Genomic DNA, 19,745 nt, shown 5'->3' on the forward strand with positions numbered 1-19,745 from the left:
GGCCATTTTCACAATATTGATTCTTCCTATCCATGAGCATGGAATGTTCTTCCATTTGTTTGTGTCCTCTCTTATTCCCTTGGGCAGTGGTTTGTAGTTCTCCTTGAAGAGGTTCTTCACATTCCTTGTAAGTTGTACTCCTAGGTATTTTATTCTCTTTGTAGCAATTGTGAGAGGGAGTTCACTCATGATTTGGCTCTCTGTTTGTCTATTATTGGTGTATAGGAATGCTTGTGATTTTCTCACATTGATTTTGTATCCTGAGACTTTGCTGAAGTTGTTTATCAGCTTAAGGAGATTTTGGGCTGAGATGATGGGGTTTTCTAAATATACAATCATGTCATCTGCAAACAGAGACAATTTGACTTCCTCTCTTCCTATCTGAATACCCTTTATTTCTTTCTCTTGCCTGATTGCCCTGGCTAGAACTTCCAATACCACATTGAATAGGAGTGGTAAGAGAGGGAATCCTTGACATGCTTAGTTTATACTACCAGTAGGTCTCCCTGAACTCCCATGCATGTGCATCTGCTAGAATTCTGTGCCTCTGGAGCACTGCAAAAGCTGTGCGCTAATAGATTGGTGAGGCTATGTGCTAATGGATTCTCTAGGGCCAAAAGAGATTTTAAAATATTTTATTTCAGATCCATCTATATGCTGCCTTTCAAGAAACTCACTTCTTGACTTTAGGGACACACACGGGCTAAAAGTGAAGGGCTGGAAAAAGACATTCTATGCAAATTGTAATCAGAAGAGAGAATGGATGGCTATACATCAGACAAAATAGGCTCTACATCAAAAACTGTCGCAAGAGACAAGAGGGTCATTATATAATTATAAAAGTATCCTCTTATCAAGAGGATATAACAATTACAAATATTTATGCACCAAATATCAGAGCACCTAAATATATAAAGCAAATATTAATGTAACTGAAAGGAGATATAGACAGCAATGCAATAATGGTAGGGGACTTTAGTACCTCACTTTCATGAACAAACTATAGACCAAATGGACCTAACAGACATATTCAGAACATTCCATCCAGTAGCAGTAGAATACACATTCTTTTCAGACACCCACAGAGCATCCTCCAAGATAGATCATACGTTAGGCCACAAAACAAGTCTTAACAAATTTAATAAGACAAATAATATCAAGTACCTTTTATGACCACAACAGTATGAAACTAGAAATCAATACCAGGAGGAAAATTAGGAAATTCACAAATATGTGGAAATTAAACAATGCACTCTTAAACAACCAATGGATCAAAGAAGAAATCAAAATGGACATAAATATCTTGAGGAAAATGGAAATATACAGATATCAAAACTTATGGAATGCAGCTAAAGCAAATCTAAGAGGGAAGTTTATAGTAATAAACACCTACATTCAGAAAAAAAGAAAGATCTCTAATGAACAACCTAACTTTACACCTAAGCCCAAAGTTAGCAGAAGGAAGAAGATAAAGATTAGAACAGAAATAAATGAAATAGATACTAGAAGAACAAAAGAAAATATCAACAAAACTGAGAGTAATAAAAACAGAGAAAAGACTCACATAAATAAAATTATAGATAAGGGAGATATAACAACTGATATCACAGAAATACAAAGGATCATAAGAGACTACTATGAAAATTATATTCCAACAAGTTGGATAACCTAAAAGAAATGAAGAAATTCCTAGAAACATACAGCTGACTATCTTAGTTTGTTTTCTGTTGTTTATAATAGAATATCTGAAACTGGGTAATTTAGAAAGAATAGGAATTTATTTTCTACCATTATGGAGGCTGAGAAGTCCAGGATCAAGGGGGTGCATCTGATGAAAGTCTCCATGGTGGGGACTCTGCAGAATTCTGAAGCAGTACAGCGCATCACATGACCAGGGTGCTGAGCATGCTAGGTCCAATCTCTCTTCTTCTTATAAAGCCACCAGTCCCACTCCCATGATAACCCATTAATCCATTAATCCATTAGTAGATTAATCCATTCACAAAGACAGAGTCCTCATCATCCAATCACTTTTTTAAGGCCCAGCCTCTTAATATTGCCACACTGGGGATAAAGTTTCAACATGAGTTTTGAAAGAGACAAATATTGAAACCATAGCACCTACAAAGACTGACTCATGAAGAAACAGAAAATCTGAACAGACCATACTAAGTAAGGACTTTAAGTCAGTGATTAAAAACTTCCCAACAAAGAAAAGCCAAGGACCTGATGGCTTCACTGGTGAATTCTGCCAAATATTTAAGGAAAATTAAACCAATCCTTATCAAACTCTTCCCAAAAAATTGAAGAAGAAAGAGCACTTCCAAAGTCACTATGAGGCCAACATTACCCTGATAGCAAAGCCAGACAAAGACACTACAAGAAAAAAAAATATGAAAGAATATCCCTGATAAACATAGATGCAAAAATCCTCAACAAAATACTGACAACTCTAGCAAAAATGGACAAATGTAATCACATCAACTTAAAAAGTGTCTGTACAGTGAAGAAAATAATCAAGGAAATGAAGGGACAGCCCACAGAATGGGAGAAAGTATTTGCAAACTACCTACCTGACAAGGGATTAATTACCAAAATATATAAGGAGCTAAAATAACTCTCTAGGAAAAAATATCTTATAATCCAATTTAAAAATGGGCAAAAGATCTGAACAGACATTTCTCAAAAGAAGACATACCAGTAGCAAACACATATATGAAAAGGTGCACAACACCACTGATCATCAAAGAAAGGTAAATCAAAACTACAATGAGATATCATATCACCTTGGTTAAAATGGCTTTTACCCAAAAGGCAATAATGAATGCTGGTGAGGATGTGGAGAAAAGGGAACTCTCTTCCACTGTTAGTAGGAAGCTAAATTAGTGCAGCCACTATGGAGAATGCATGGGGATTACTCAAAACAAACTAAAAATAGAGCTATCACATGATCCAACAATCCCACTACTGTATATATACCCAAAAGAAAGAAAGAAGTATATCAAAGAGATATCTGCACTCCCATGTTTATTGCAGCATTATTTATAATAGCCAAGATTTGGAAACAACCTGAGTGCCCATCATCAGACAAATGGATAAAGAAAATATACATATGTAAAATGGAGTACTATTCAGTCATAAAAAAGAATGAGATCCTATCATTTGCAACAACATGGATAGAACTGGAGATCACTATGTTAAGTGAAATAAGCCAGGCACAGAGTGAAACTTTGAATGTTCTCACTTATTTGTGGGAACTAAAAAATTTCAAACAACTGAACTCATAGAGATAGAGAGTGGAATGATGGTTACCAGAGGCTGGGAAGATTGGAGGAGGACAGGAGGAAGAGAGGATGGTTAATGCATACAAAAATATTATTAGAAGGAATAAGATATAGTATTTGACTCACGCCTGTAATCCCAGCACTTTGGGAGGCCGAGGCGGGCGGATCACGAGGTCAGGAGATCGAGACCATCCTGGCTAACACGGTGAAACCCCGTCTCTACTAAAAATACAAAAAATTAGCCGGGCGTGGTAGCGGGCGCCTGTAGTCCCAGCTACTCGGGAGGCTGAGGCAGGAGAATGGCGTGAACCCGGGAGGCGGAGCTTGCAGTGAGCCGAGATCGCGCCACTGCACTCCAGCCTGGGCGACAGAGCGAGACTCCGTCTCAAAAAAAAAAAAAAAAAAAAGAAGGAATAAGATATAGTATTTGATAGCACAACAGGGTGACCATAGTCAACAATAACATTGTACATTTTAAAATAACTAAAAGTATAACTGGATTGTTTGTAACACAAAGAAAGGGTAATTGCTTGAGGTGATGCATACCTGACTTACCTTGATGTGACTATTACACATTATATGCTTGTATCAAAATATCTCATGTGACCCATAACAATATACACCCACTATTTACCCATAAATATTAAAAATTAAAAATACTAGCAAACCAAATACAAAAGCACATTAAAAGGTTCATACACCATGATCAAATAGGCTTTATCTCAGGGATACAAGGATGGTTCAATATATGCAAGCTGGTAAATATAATACACCACATTCACAGAATGAAGGATAAAAATCATATAATCATCTCACTAGATACAGAAAAAGCATTTGATAAAATTCAACATTATTTCATGATTTTCAAATCTTGTAAAAAAATTAGTGATAGAAGGAATGCAACTCAATATAATAATGACCATATATGATAAGCCCTCAGCTAACATCATACTCAACAGTGAGCAACAGAAAGCTTTTCCTCTAAGATCAGAAACAAGACAAAAATACCAACTCTTGCCACTTCTATTCAACGTAGTACTGTAAGTCCTAGACAGAACAATTAGGCAAGAAAAAGAAATGAAAGGCATCCAAATTAGAAAGAAAGAGGTAAAATTGTCTTTGTTTGCAGATGGCATGATCTTATATATAGGAAAGTCTAAAGACTCCACTAAAAAGCAGTTCGAAATAATAAATTTAAAGTTGTAAAATATGAAACCAATATACAAGTCAGAACATGTATATAAACAAACAACAAACTATCCAAAAGAGAAATGATGAAATCAATCCGATTTACAGTAGCATCAAAAAATAAAATACTTAGAAATAAATTCAGCCAAGGAGGTAAAAAAAGAAGTGCACACTGAAAAGTACAAAACATTGATGAAAGAAATTGAAGGCCAGGTGCAGTGGCTCACGTCTGTAATCCCAGCACTTTGGTAGGCTGAGGCGGGCAGATAACCTGAGATCAGGAGTTCAAGACCAGGCTGGCCAACATGGTGAGACTCCCATCTCTACTAAAAATACAAAAAAATTAGCTGGGCATGGTGACACACGCCTGTAATCCCAACTACTCAGGAGGCTGAGGCAGGAGAATTGCTTGAACCTGGGAGGCAGAGGTTGCAAGGTTGCAGTGAACCGAGATAGTGCCACTGCACTCCAGCCTGGGCGAAAGAGTGAGACTCTGTCTCAAAAAAAAAAAAAGAAAAAAGAAAGAAAGAAGTTGAAGAAGATGCAAATAAATAGATATTCTGTGTTCATTGATTAGAGGATTAGAAAAATCAGTATTGTTAAAATGTTCATACTGCTGAAAGCAATCTACAAATTCAGTGCAATCCCTATCAAAATTCTAGTGGCATTTTTCATAGAAATAGAACAATCCTAAAATTCTTATGGAACCACCAAAGGCCCTGAATAGCAAAAGCAACCTTGAACAAGAGGAACAGAGTTGGAGGCATCACATTTTCTGATTTCAAATTATATTACAAAGTTATAGTAATCAAAATAGTATGGTACTGGCATAAAAACAGATACATATATCAGTGAAACAGAATAGAGAGCTCAGAGAAAAACCCAAGCATATATAGTCAACTAACTTTTGACAAGGGCATCAAGACTACAAAACAAAGAAAGGATAGTCTCTTCAATAATTGGTGTTGAGGAAACTAAACATTCACCTGCAAAAGAAATGAAATTGGACGTATATTAGACCATATACAAAATGGGTTAGAGACTTAATCATAAGACATAAAACTGTAAAACTTCTACAAGAAAACATAGGGGAAAGTGCTTTGATATTGGTCTTGGCAATGATAATTTGGGGTATGACACTAAAAGCACCAACAAAAGCAAAAATAAACAAATAAGACTACATCAAACTAAAAACCCTTTTCACATAAAGGATATAATGACATGGACACAGGAAGGGGAACATCACACTCTGGGGACTGTTGTGGGGTGGGGGGAGGGGGGAGGCATAGCACTGGGAGATATACCTAATGCTAGATGACGAGTTAGTGGGTGCAGCACACCAGCATGGCACATGTATACATATGTAACTAACCTGCACATTGTGCACATGTACCCTAAAACTTAAAGTATAATAATAATTAAAAAAAGGAAATAATGAATGAAATGAAAAGGCAACTTACAGAATGGGAGAAAATATTTATAAACGGTATATCTGAATGGGAGATAATATCCAAAACATATAAGAAACTCAAACAACTCAATATCAAGAAAACAATAACTAAATATAAAAAGAGGGTAAAGAACTTGAATAGACATTTCTCAAAAGGATACACACAAATGGTCAACAGGGATATTAAAAAGTATTCAACATCACTAATCATCAGGTAAATGCAAATCAAGGCCACAATGAGATACCACATCACGCTTGTTAAGATGGCTATCATTAAAAAAAAAAAAAAAGGAAAGATCCATGTTGAAGAGTATGTGAAGAAAAGGGAACGCTGACACACTGTTGGTGGAAATGTAAATTGGCACAGCCATTACAAAAAAAACAGTATGGAGGTTCCCTAAAACTTTTTAAATAGAACTACCATATGATCCAGCAATCCCACTTCTGGATATTTATACAAAAGAAATGAAATCAGTATGTAGAAGAGATACCTGAACTCCCATATTCATTGCAGTATCATTCACAAATAGCCAAGATATGAAAACAACCTAAATGTCTATTGGCAAATGAATGAATAGAGAAAATATGGACTATACATGTAATGGAATATTATTCAGCCTTAAAAAAGAAGAAAGTCTTATTTGGGAGGCGAGGTGGACAGATCACTTGAGGTCAGGAGTTCGAGACCAGCCTGGCCAACATGGCAAAACCCCATCTGTACTAAAAATACAAAAAAAAAAAAAAATTAGCTGAGCATGGTGATGAACTCCTATAATCCCAGCTATTTGGAAGGCTGAGGCACAAGAATCACTTGAACCCAGGAGGCAGAGGTTGCAGTGAGCCAGTGAGCCAAGATCATGCCACAGCACTCCAGCCTAGGCAACAGAGCAAGACTCTGCCTTAAAAAAAAAAAAGGAAAAAAGAAAAAAAATCCTGCCATTTGCTATCACGTGGATAGAACTAGAGGACATTATGCTAAGTGAAATAAACCAAACACAGAAAGACAAATACTGTAAAACTTTACTTATATGTTGAATCTAAAATAAGCAAACTCATAGAGGCAGAGAGTAGAATGGTAGTTGCCAGGGGTTAAAGGTGGGGGAAATGGAGAGGTGATGGCCAAAGATTACAACGTTTCGGTTATGCAAGATAAGTTCTGGAGATTTAATGTGCAGCATGGCAACTATAGCTAACAATACTGTACTGTATACTTAAAATTTTCTAAGAGGTTCTTAAGTGTTATTACCGCAAGAATAATAATAATAATAATTAATAATTATTATAACAATAACAAGGGGATAGGAGAAAACTTTAGGAGGTGTTGGATATGCCTTTGGACATGATGGTGGTGATGGTTTCATGGGTATATATTTATCCTCAAACTCATGGAGTTGTATACACTAAGTATGTACAGCTTTTTACGTGTCAATCACACCTCAATAAAGTGATTTAAAAATATATATTTGCTCTTCATATTTAAAAAGGCAGTTAATTCTCCTGATCAGCAGTTTATTTTAACCCTAAAAAGATACGTGGAATATTTTCAAGGCAATGGATATAGAAGATTTTAATTTGTATCTCAAACTGAAATTTCATGCTATACCATAGATATTTGCCAATTCAGATTATTGGAATTGAGTATTTTTTTAAAAAAACCATACCAGTACCTTGGCATGAAGTATTAGGCAGAGAGAGTCAGAGCATAGCCAAGCGTAGTGCCGCAGAGTCCCATAGCAACACCATTCAAGCCCACACTTGCAGGTGGGCGAGACCACTCATCTGTGTCCTCCTCTGATCTTGCCTGGTTCTTGCATTGGTGGAATGAGCCTGCTAACGAGCACACCCATCACTGCCCCTGAGAACCACTAGGATAAGTGAGGAAGGATATTCAGAACACTGCCTCATTACTGCTTAGATTTCTCCTTCCAGCCAGTCAGCACCGAAACCAGTTTAATGTCTGCACATTAAAAAAAAGGCAGAGTGAAATGCTCTCCTCGGCTTCTCCCCACCTCCACCTTGTCCTAAAGAGTAACTAAGCCTTTCTGTTCTCCACCTCAACTTGATTAGGGGAGGGAGAAAAATTACTTCATTGTGTTTTAGAAACTTCTCTTAAAAAAAAAAAATGCCTAGGCCAATCCAGAAATTGCTGGAGCTCCGCATGCTGACGCTAACAATCATGTAGCAAAAATCAGTAGCAGTGGTAGCTCTGTTAACTACCATGAACATCCAGGACCATACAATGAAAGGAAGAATAAAGCCAAGTGAATGTGGATGGACAGAGAACCAGATTTAATTTAATTTGGAAAAATCAAGGAATATAACATTTCTTGCATTTGTCTCATAACCACTTCTTACCTAAGGTTAAAAAAAAAAAAACTACCTCAGTTTATTTGTTCTTACCTTTTCAAAGTAAACAATTTCAACTTAAATTCCGTGTCACACAATTTCTTTTAACTGCAAAATTCTGAATCCTTTTTTAAATAACATAGGGAAATATTTAACTTAAAGTTCAGAGCTCAGAAAAGACGATCCTCCTTATACACTAGATATTCTTAACTAGTGCTTCTATAATTTGCTTCTAAACAAAGAAAATCTGTTCAGCTGGTAACCACAGTCTATTGAAACAATTGAAATAACTGTCAATAGTTAAGTAGAAGGTATACATTAACTTAGAGCTTCTTTAAGAACTATGTGTATTTCCGGATTAAAGTAGTTTATATAAACTAGTTCAGTTAACTATTTTACCAGGACACAATATGGCATTCTGCAAAATTCATTGCTCCTATAACTATAAAGTCCTGTTCAAGAGACTTTCACAATTATATTTGCTTCACACATTAAAATGAGAATGTAATCTAATAATAAGTGTTGATTTGGAGTTAAAGATGTAATAGGCCCAGGTTTGGTCCCAACAATGGAGCTTGGCTTTAGGACTTCCCAGCGCCACTTTCTAAAATCACTGGTCCTCAACTATTCTATTTAAAATAGACCTGCTTGTTCCCACTCAAAATAGACAATGCAAAAACACATATTTTCTTCTTCTACACATACATATTTTCCTCCATTGCTCCCTGTGTTACTGGTTTAAGACAACATTTATTCTTAAAATTACTTCACCAATTCCTAGGATATGTTTTCCCACAATAAACAGTTAAAAAGATAAAACAGTCTTAATTTTGGGTCACTGATTCATCTTCTTCTAGACCATGCTGATTTCTTTTTAGCATCTGGCACGTGACCCAGCGATAATTTTTAACGACTTTCAAAATACATTTTTCTGGAAATCAAATAAATACATTTTTCCCCTAAAGCCCCCTTGCATTACTATTGTGGTTTGTCCTCCAAAGTGCAACTTCAAAGGCCACTGTAGGAGGAACTCTCATTGTTTTTGTCTGATGATCAGTACTGATGGTTATTCTTTAGCAACTTGGATTTAGCCACTTAAAGAAGTAGCGAGATCTATGCCTGAAGACAAACATTCTTTATTATTTTTTCATCTCATAAATGAGATAAGAAAGATCTCAACTCCTTCTAGAGCAGTGGTTCCCAAACTTGAACGTGTATGAGAATCATCTAGAGGGCTTGTTAAACCATGTGTCCCTGGGCCCACTCTAGGGTTTTGCTTCAGCCCCTGGAGTTGCAGCCTGAGAATCTGTATTTCTGATCAGTTCCCAGGACCACACCATGAGAACCACTGGTCTAGACTATCTGAGTGGTCCAATCAAAAAAACCAAAATTTTTACAAAAACAACTTTTAAATCACTATTAGAAAAAATTAAGACATTCATACTTCTAGCTCTAAAATTTATCTTATCAGAACCTCATAATGTTTCTTGGAGGAATTTTAGTAAACAATAGTATTATATTCATTTTTTAAATGTCAAAAATTTGTCTAACATCATTACACTGAATCTGTTTTTGCCTTCATATTGGAAAGTTTAAGCACAACTATTTTTTATTTTAGCTTGTAGACAATTTTCCAAAGAACATATGTGGTTTTCTTTTTTAGAATAACATGTGATTAAAGACACTGTTTTACCTTTAAAAAGCAACTGAATTAAAATTTACTTCACATATGTTTATAGATTTTCCAAAAATTCCAAGGCAAACTCAAACTGCATAGAAAGTTAATTTTTTCTAAATTCATCCATGAGTATATGGGTATGGTTTACTATCACTTATGCATACCTCTTATTAGAATAAGAGCACATTCTAAAAAATTTCCAATTGGCACCATTTATTATATCACCATTTATGCGATAATCTAATAAATAGCATCTAATGAAAAATACATTTACCTTGGAAAACTATACACATACTATATGAGAGAATAATTAAGATGATGATTGCAATAAAAACAGTACTGTACATTAGTTTCCTAAATGTTATGGTATAAATTAATGTCCAAAGGAAATACTTTTCATTCATCAAAGATTTGAAACTACAAATTATTAAACATGTGTGCTAAGAAGCTATTTGTAACTGATTTTAAGCTCTGTGTATTTTTATGTTCATTGAAGCACTTTTTTAAAAGAACAACACGTGCTTGTTTACCACCACTCGCTGTTCAACTCTCTGAAAACTAGCTCCTCTGCTGCATACTGACTAGTACAGATAAAGACAATTCTGTTGTAACAAGATTACTTTTTAGGACTTTAGGGGTTTTTTTCTTATTGTTTATTTAATGTTGAAGCATAGTTTTAATAACAACCCTGATCAGAAACTCATTTTAATGATGCTAGGAGTACTAATTCTCCCAGCCTTTCAGAAGGATGTAAATTACTACTGTGGTGTGGAGACTTGGGAAGCATTTGGGCACAATGAACAAACATGAGAAAATTGCTGGAGGTAAAGAATAGCTACTGTTTACTGGACAGAAGGAAAAAATGGCGAATCCAATAATGGTCATGATGGAGATGCAAGTAAATAGAGTTTGCCATCAATTGACTAATTTGACAAAGTGCACCTAGATTCATCATCTTTCCAACTCTGCTCTTTCTAATCTTTTAATGCATCACCATCATCCAAGGCTCCTTTCTTCTAGGACAATAACTGGGCATCCAGAACAGTACCAGCATAATACCCAGTACAATACCAGACAATGTCTAAAGTATCCCATCAGCTGGTTAAAATAGTCTCAAACACAGTGGTCTGGCACATGAAATCAGCCCATTTAGCAGCCACTTCTAGAGACCCATCCTCCTCCCACCTGCCCTTCTTTTCCCTTTATTGCTCAATAATGTCCAATAGTCTTCTAAGCTTTTGTTAAGTCCCTGTTGATTCTTGGTGTTTCTGATTTTTACTGCCCTGATTCTGCTTGTCTTTATTCTATGGTTCAGCCCTTTGTACCATGACTGAAGCTGCTATGTCCTCCTCACCAACTCCCTTTGGTTCCAACACTTACACACATCTTACAATATTTCACCCAGAAAATGTTTTCTTATGTACCCTTAAAGCAGATCTGGTAAGATATTTGACCCTAACAAATATGTGACTATTGAATATATTTATAGATGGGCAAGTTGTGGAGAAAACCCAGCTTCCTATTTCACAAGGTGAACAGGAAGCAGTAAACATGATAGGAATGAGGAACTACCAAAACCTATCTCCACTTGGTTCTTACAACTAGACCCAACTATGTATTGTGTTTAGTTAGTCTCTGGAAAATACAATCACCGAGAAATTCCCTGTAACTATTGCATGACATGTAAACATGACCAATAGTCAGTTAACCGGGGAAATCATTTAGAAATTCCAGGAACTCCAATTTGAACTCCAGTAATTCTAAAGGAAGATTAAATGAGAAAAAGGAGACACATTTTTGTTTTCACAACTAGGATTTCTTATTCTGACACCTTTTTATTTCAGTAGCACAGCCTGAAGAGTGTTATCTCACCAGGAGGAAAGTAAGATGACAAAATTGATCTGTCTTCACAAAGCAAAATTATAAACTTAATTACATAATTATTTTTTAATATGTGCATTTATGACTATTGTGATAATAGCAGTTACATTTCATGTTCTTCACAAGCTTCACATATACCAGTTCATAAAGCCTAACAATATTCTCATTCAACGTACAATAGTTAATGACCCATTCGCTTGCCATTTGTCTTTTCCTCTGCCAATCTTTATTTTTCTCAGTACTTACCCATCCTGTTACCCAAAAGAGGCATATTCTGCAATATTCACTTTAGATGAAGCCAGTTCAAATCAATGCAAAGGAAGGATCTTCCAGAGTGTAGACAAAGGGCCATAATAAAAGATGAATTGGGCAGCCCCTGCTAGGGAACAGTCTCTGGGCCTAATTAAGGAATATTTCCTATCCTCAGGTTAAGGAGCCTTACCTTGTTCTACCCAGCAGGATTTGCTAGCCTTCTCCTTTCTAATCAGAATGTTATTACAGTTATTTGTAACTCTTATAGCTGCTCCAAATTGTGCTGTGGAACATAGATCAGGGCAGATAGCTTATCTTTTTAGTTCACAGATATTAAATCAAGAGAATCCACATCTAGATGTCATGTAGGAGCCACCTACTATGCATCACCCAGAAATCCCGAAGTGTGAGCTTGACACCGTGACTAGGTGTAACTTCTAGAATGTCTCTCTTGAAAAAGAGGTTAGTGTATTATGCCTAGAGATCAGAAAGGCAGACTGAAGTTATCCTTAGTAATGTTCATCAAAATACTTTTAGCTCTCCTCCTTCCAGGCTCAGGGATGGATTGTCCTTTCCCTATCACTTTGAAGTTAGGCCAATGAAATTTAAACAGACATGCTGTGGGTCCCTTCCAGATAGAATTCACCATGTTTCCTGTGTCCTGCCTTGATAGTCATGGATGTGTGTGTCAATATAGAATTTCCATCAGCCTGGTGCCTGAGAGACTATGGTGATCAGAGCCCTCCACTGACTTGTGATAACCATCATGGTCATGTAAAATGAGAAATAAATTTCTGTTGACTTAAGCAACTAAGGTTCTGTGGTTGTTGTATTTTTTCCACAGATCATCTAACCTATACTGACTGATAAGCCTTCTAAAAGCAAAAGGAAGAAAACAGCTTTGTTAATCGAGGCCTCTTCTGCAAAGTTCACCATAGGTAAGAAAATATTTCTCATAGCATTGCAAATCTACACCCAAATCTATACCCAAATCAAAAGTTAGTGCTACCTGGAAGGAGCCAAAGAAATGAGGAAATCCTGACTTCCCAGTCTTTATCCAATATGCCCCACAGGGCAACCTTGGAATTATAGAGGTAACAAGCCCCTGTTCCTCAAGTGTCAATCCCTGGAATGTGGCAGATTAGCTCTGCACATGAAACCATCTATTATTCCCCTTGTCTTGAAGCAGAAGCCAAGATAGCAGCCTTTAAACTAAGGCTTAGGGCCTCCAACAGATGCTAACAGGGAGACATACAAAGGCAGTACCTAGATTCGTTGACCATGACCCAAAACATTGGTTAACAGCTAACAGAATGCATTCTGTTTGAAGCTACTGTGTCCTACCACGATTTTAAAGGACTTGTGCTATCAGAGAGACCCTGAGCCTGGACTAGATCAGTGGTTCCCAAATCATGGTCCACAGACAGCGTCTATGGGACTTTTTACTCATCTGCAATGAAATGAGAAAAATAAGGACAATTTAGTCATTTTTAGTGAAACTAAATATATTCTATGTAGAGGACTGTGTTTGAACATTATAGCTTTCCTAATTTTGTGATATTAAAATGTCTTTACATTTATCAAATGATGGTAAAAGATAAATGGTAGGGCCTTTATTGTTGCTATTACTGTTTTTATTTGACAAAATTAAGTTTGGTAACCTTATGTTGTCCCCATTGTTTTTATTAAAATTTGACTTAATTATGGAAACTATTATTTTTACACGACCATCAGGTTTAAAAACTACTGAAGCTCTATAAATCTTTATATGTAGGACACGCTATGGTTATGTTTAATATGATAAAGTGTAACATGATGGAATCTTGAAACCTCTTGCCCCATCCTCTAGAGCTGCACCATCCATCGGGGTAACAACCAGCCACATGTAGCTACTGAGCTCTTGAAATATAGCTGCTCCAAATTGTGCTGCATAGTAAAATACATACTGAATTTTAAAGATAAATAATAAACTGTTAGTTATTTGAGAAATCTCCAAATTGCTCTCCAGTGGCTGAACTAATTTACATTCCCAATGGATTCATTCACACGCTAAACATCAGCATCACACAATATACCTTTGTAACAAGCCTGCACATATACCTCTTCATTCTAAAATAAAGGTTTAAAAAAAGAAATAAAATATCTCATTAATAATTTTTATATTGATCACATGTTGAAGTGGTAATATTTTTAATATCCTGAGTTAAATAAAATTTATTATTAAAACTGATTCATCTGTTTCTTTTTACTTTTTAAGTATGGCTTCTAGAAAACTTTAAATTGCATCTGTAGCTCACATTGTATTTCTATTGGACCTCCCTGTTCTAATGTCAGTGTGTTCATGATTAACCACTATTAAGATTATGTTCTTTCTGGTAATGTATTGTGTTTGCATGCCTTCTCAGTCACACAAATCGTAATAGCTGACTTACTTCTGTTACTCACAGCCTCATTTACCTAGAGTCTCTGCTCTTTCTCATCTTTTGTATCATATGGTCATGAAACTAGTTTTCTTAGTTAGTCTCCTTTTGATCATATCACTCCTTTGCCCAGAAATTGAAGAACAGGGAAGTCTTAGGCACCGGTGGTGAGAATGTACATTAGTACAGCAAGTCCTCACTTAATAGCATCAATAAGTTATTGGAAACTGTGACTTTACGTTAAAGGACATACTGTATAACAGAACCAATTTTATCATAGGCTAATTGATATATAAACAGGAGTTAACTTCCTATGGCTTACAGTTTGCAATTTCACTTAAAGTCACAGTTTCCAAGAACCTGTCAATGGCATTAAATGAGGAATTGTTATATAGTCACTGTGGAAAAGAGAATGAAGGTTCCTCAAGAAATTAAAAATGCAACTAACATAGGATCCAGCAATCCCATTACTGGAGATATACACAAAGGAAAAGAAATCAGTATGTCAAAGAGATATCTGCTCTTCCATGTTTATTGCAGCACCATCCACAATAGCCAAGGTATAGACTCAATCTAAAAACCCATCTACAGATGATTGAAGAAAACTAGATAGATAGATGATAGATAGATAGATAGATAGATAGATAGATAGATAGACAGATAGATACAATGGAATACTATTCAACCATAAAACGAATGAAATCCTGTCGTTTACAGCAAAATGGATAAAGCTGGAGAACATGTCATGTGAACTCAGGCAGATACAGAAAGACAAACACTGCATAATATTATATGTGGAATCTAAAGAAGCTTGTTTCACAGAAGTAGAGAGTAGAATAGTGGTTACCAGAGGCTGGGAAGAGGTTGGTTGACAAGTACAAAGTTACATTTAGACAGGGAGAATAACTTCTGGTGTTTCTGTTACACAGTAGGGTGACTATAGCAAATAACAATGCAGTGTACAGTCGAAGATATAGTTGAAGAGACTAGAAGATTTTGAATGTTATCACGACAAAGCAATGATAAATGTTTAAAGTGATAGAAGGTAATTACCCTGATTTGAACATTATAAAATGTATACAAGCATTGAGACATAACATAAGTATGTACAATTACCATATGTTGATTATGAATTTAAATTTAAATTTTAAAATAAAAAATAACCTAATGTTTGACACTTTCCAACAAGTAATTATTCCATAGCTCTCCAATACCAATTATGTTATTTTCTGGCCATAAACCCATCCAGACCTGCTATGTGCACATGCTGAGCATTTGCACTCACTTGTCTTTGATATGAAATGTTGTTTCCATTATTCTCTCTCAGTCTATGTCTTTCTTTGTCTTCCACACTCAGTACACAGCTCTCCTTCTCTAAAAAACCTTCCATACTTGACCCTACCCTGCCCTCCAAACCAGGCTCCTTGATGATCTCTCATATCTCCTTTAATACATTATGTTCATGGCATCAATTTATATTTATTGATAGATGTAGAAAAAATATATATTTCAGACAATCAGCTATGTGCATTCCGTTTCCATAATTCATAAATTATCTTAAAGCAGAGTATCATATTTCATAAAATGACAGGGCTATAATGCAGCTAAAAGATTGACTGTTTGTTTTACTAGTGAGGTAACAAGACTAAAGCTTTTAAGTGACTTATCAGAGTTTACATGTCTAATTAGGAGCAAAAGTGGGACCAGAACTCCCAATGTTCTACTGGTATTCCTGGAACAAGCCACTTTTACTTTTCTAATTTATTCTGTCTTCCAGCATGTAGGAAATGCCCCCGTATAAATCAGGTAGTCTCAAATGAAGCACGAAGAAGCATCAGCAGGAGATAGTGCCCAAAGGAGAGAACATTGAGATTATCAGGATAGGGCAAAGAGCACCAGATCTCCAATGGGGTGATCCCATGGGGTGAAAAGCAGGCTAGATGATAGGCAAGTGAGTGGGCTTAGAGACAAGGCTCCAATCATAGCAGAGTGGCTGAAGTGCAGTCAAGAAATCTGAAGCAGCTGAGGCTTAACCACAGTGACTGAGCATGCGCCTTAAGGTTGTGAGGGAAGATGGCTGCTTAGGGAGCAGACATGTTACCAGACATGAAACAGCAAGGTTAATTTCCAGATCCCACCCACTAACCCAGTCAACAGACTATATCACTTATTTTATCCCATCAGTCTTGATAGATAGTCTAGATAGAATGAACCTAAAGCTTGAATATGTTCAATTAAGGGAACTAAGTAAGATAAAGTTAATATTAAGCTCTGCCCAGAGTTTGCACTTACCGTGTAAGATGATAGAGAGATGGATAGATAAGGGGCAACACAAAAATCCACATGGCACTTGGCTTACAATGTAATGGTTGATTTTCTGCTAAAATGACAATAGCTTCTGGTCAGTTTTCATCTAGGGTGAAATTGTTTAGATTTTATATAAAATATTTTCTGAAATACCTGTGCCTACTAACTGTCTGCTCCAGTTGCACATTTTGCTAGCTATCACTCCCTAAAAGTCATTTCATTTCAGAATTGTTTAATTAATGCTAAATCAAGCAGCTAGTATTTTTGGTGTTACACAGAGGTGATGAATTCCTCAAGGGTCTTGCCTGACTGACAGCTGTCAACTAGAAATGGATGCATAGAATGAACAATTTGGCAGCATGCATTTTAGCCCTTAGATTGCACTTAATATTTTTAACGTATGGTTGTTTTACTATTATCTGAATATCTCTACATGATGAAGCTCTTATTGAGGTTTTACCAGCCTCTCGCACTGGGACTTTCTCAGGTCTACAATAAAAAAAAACACATAATAAAATGGCTTTTTCTACTGTTGAAAATGGTGATTATGAATAGGTTCAGAAACGTGGACAGAAGCCCTCAAGTGTCATTACCCAGTTTTAAAACATGATGCTGAAAAAAAGAAAGTCGTGGTTTATTTCCGTCATGGTAGGATGAAAAAGCTGCAAGATTACTGTGGATGTGTATAGTGCAAACAGGTTAACAATGCTTGTTTGGTTTGACTCACTAGGTTGGTTCGAGAAGTAATTTTCAAATAGAAGGTTTTGTTATTCAAAGAGCCTCAACGAGGTTTTAAGAAGAGATTCAAAGATAAGAAAGGGTATCAGCCTCTATTAGCCTATGTCGAGGGCAGAAACCCCTGACATGCTCAGCCAAGTGGAGGCGTTGACATCACAGATTCTATTGGGCCCAGAGTGCAAGTTTATAATTGAACAATGTAGGCAGGAAGTGAAGGCTAAGAACATACACCATCTGTTTGTTTTTAAAACTCTTTAATATGTGTCTTCAAACTGCAAAACAAGAGAATGAGAAAACACACTTTAATTCAAATCTTAATAAGAATTCTATTTCAGTAATCTGGTAAAAATAATAATAATAATAATAATAATACCTAAACATTACTGAGGGGAGTCTTTTGCTACAATGCAGTGGTTCTCAACCAGGAGCGATTTTGTCCTTCAGGAACATTTGCCAACGGCTGGAGACACCTTTAATTGTCGCAACTGGAGAGTGCTACAGGCATCCAATGGGTGGAGGCCAGGGAGGCCACTAAACGTTCTACAATGTAAAGGACAGCCTCTCACAATAAGGAATTCTCCAGCCCATAGTAGAAACAGTACCTGCCTCAATGTATGGCCAGGGTGTGCTATATTCACTTTTGGGTTTTGCCACCAAAATACTTCTATAAAACTAATATGCCAGATTCACTGTCTTTGCCAAAAATAAGACAGAAGTGACACCCTGAGAAAACAAACCATGAAAATTATTCATTCAGATGAATATCTATTTTAGTAAAACCTAATAGATTCTTAATAAAATGAGAGGTGATTTGGAAATTTTGCCCTGATAATTTGAGAGATTAAAAATACATTGTTAACGAGTACTTCCTGGCTACCCGCCCACTAATTGTATGTATCTGTGATATTCGCTCAGGCAAAAGTTTCAAAGTTTGCAAAATAACATCAGAATGATTTTGAAGACCTCTGTATCAACAGCTTACTTTTTGTTGACAATTCCCAAAGCAAGTCCTTCAATTTTACTATTAAGAAGCTTCTTATGGGTCCCCCTTCTGAAACTGCCCTTGACACGTTCCACAGCATCCTTCCAAAAAACTACTATTTCTAAATAAATTTAAAAAAATCCATGAACCACTCACATAATAATCTTAAAATACTTCAAGTATTATTAAAAATAGTGAACATTTTATGGGACTAAATTCAGTTAACCATAAGCATGTCCATCAAAAGAACAGTGTCTTCACTAAATCTACTACTAAATGAATAAGGGTTTGTGAAGATTTCTATATTAAAATTCTTCTTTCATGGAATTAATTATATTTATGGAGGGAGGAAGCAGTGTTAGTATAACCTTTTAGCCCTCATTTAGAAATAGGCTTATTATATTGAAGTCAATGATATACAGATATGTAATTCAAGCAGATTCTACGTGTATATCTACGAGTAGGGAGCATTAACCTCAAAAATAAATTCCTCATGTCAAAGGGCTACTACTCACTTGTTCCAGAAATTCATTAGCAAGTTGAAAAATAAGAATGACCCAGTCTGGTTAAAAGAAAATGCAGTCTACAGAAATGTTCATTGCATTTTCATACTTTTCCCCCCACTGGTCCAATAATAAAAATCATCATATGAATGACTGACACTTAGTAATCACCTATAATGCAGTAGGACCTACACCCCTCACTATGCCCTGTGCTGGCCATCACAGCTACCTTGCTGCATACATATTTTGCTCCAGAAAAGCAAGGCTCAGCCAAGAGTCAGCACCTGCATAACTCTAAAGTCACAGGGGACCTACAATTCAAACCCAGGCCAGCTTTGCTCCAGGACATCCACTGACATGTCATGGTCTCCATTGTAGCAAAATTCACAAGTTCAAAAGGATTTTAAGTTGTTTTATTCCTTTGTATTCTTCTTTCAACAATATCCTATTGTTCGAATTCCCAAACTCAAACAGTTTATAAACGATTGCTGTAGTTAGACTTTAATCGCTGTCCCACAGTTAATTCCACAAAGGCATTTTGCCCTGTGTAATTCCATTCTTTTCCTATTCCTGTGTCATTAGGGGAAAAAATATGTTTTTGCTTATGAGATATCTCTAGCTCAATTTCTTTCTGGTAGTGTGTCTTTGATCAGTTCAGACATTTCTCAGACTTCGTATACGCCCTCGTTTGTAGATAGCGTTATGTGTTCTCTGAA

At 36.1% G+C, this 19,745-nt stretch overlaps 1 long non-coding RNA gene across 1 annotated transcript in view; it reads right to left on the reverse strand.

Moving 5' to 3' along the window:
* RXFP1-AS1 (RXFP1 antisense RNA 1) overlaps positions 1 to 19,745 on the reverse strand; it is a 75,659-nt gene that overhangs the window by 12,911 nt on the left and 43,003 nt on the right. The gene's annotated exons all lie outside the window — the stretch shown is intronic.

Source organism: Homo sapiens, chromosome 4, assembly GCF_000001405.40.
Source record: "Homo sapiens chromosome 4, GRCh38.p14 Primary Assembly".
Classification (NCBI taxonomy): Eukaryota; Metazoa; Chordata; class Mammalia; order Primates; family Hominidae; genus Homo; species Homo sapiens.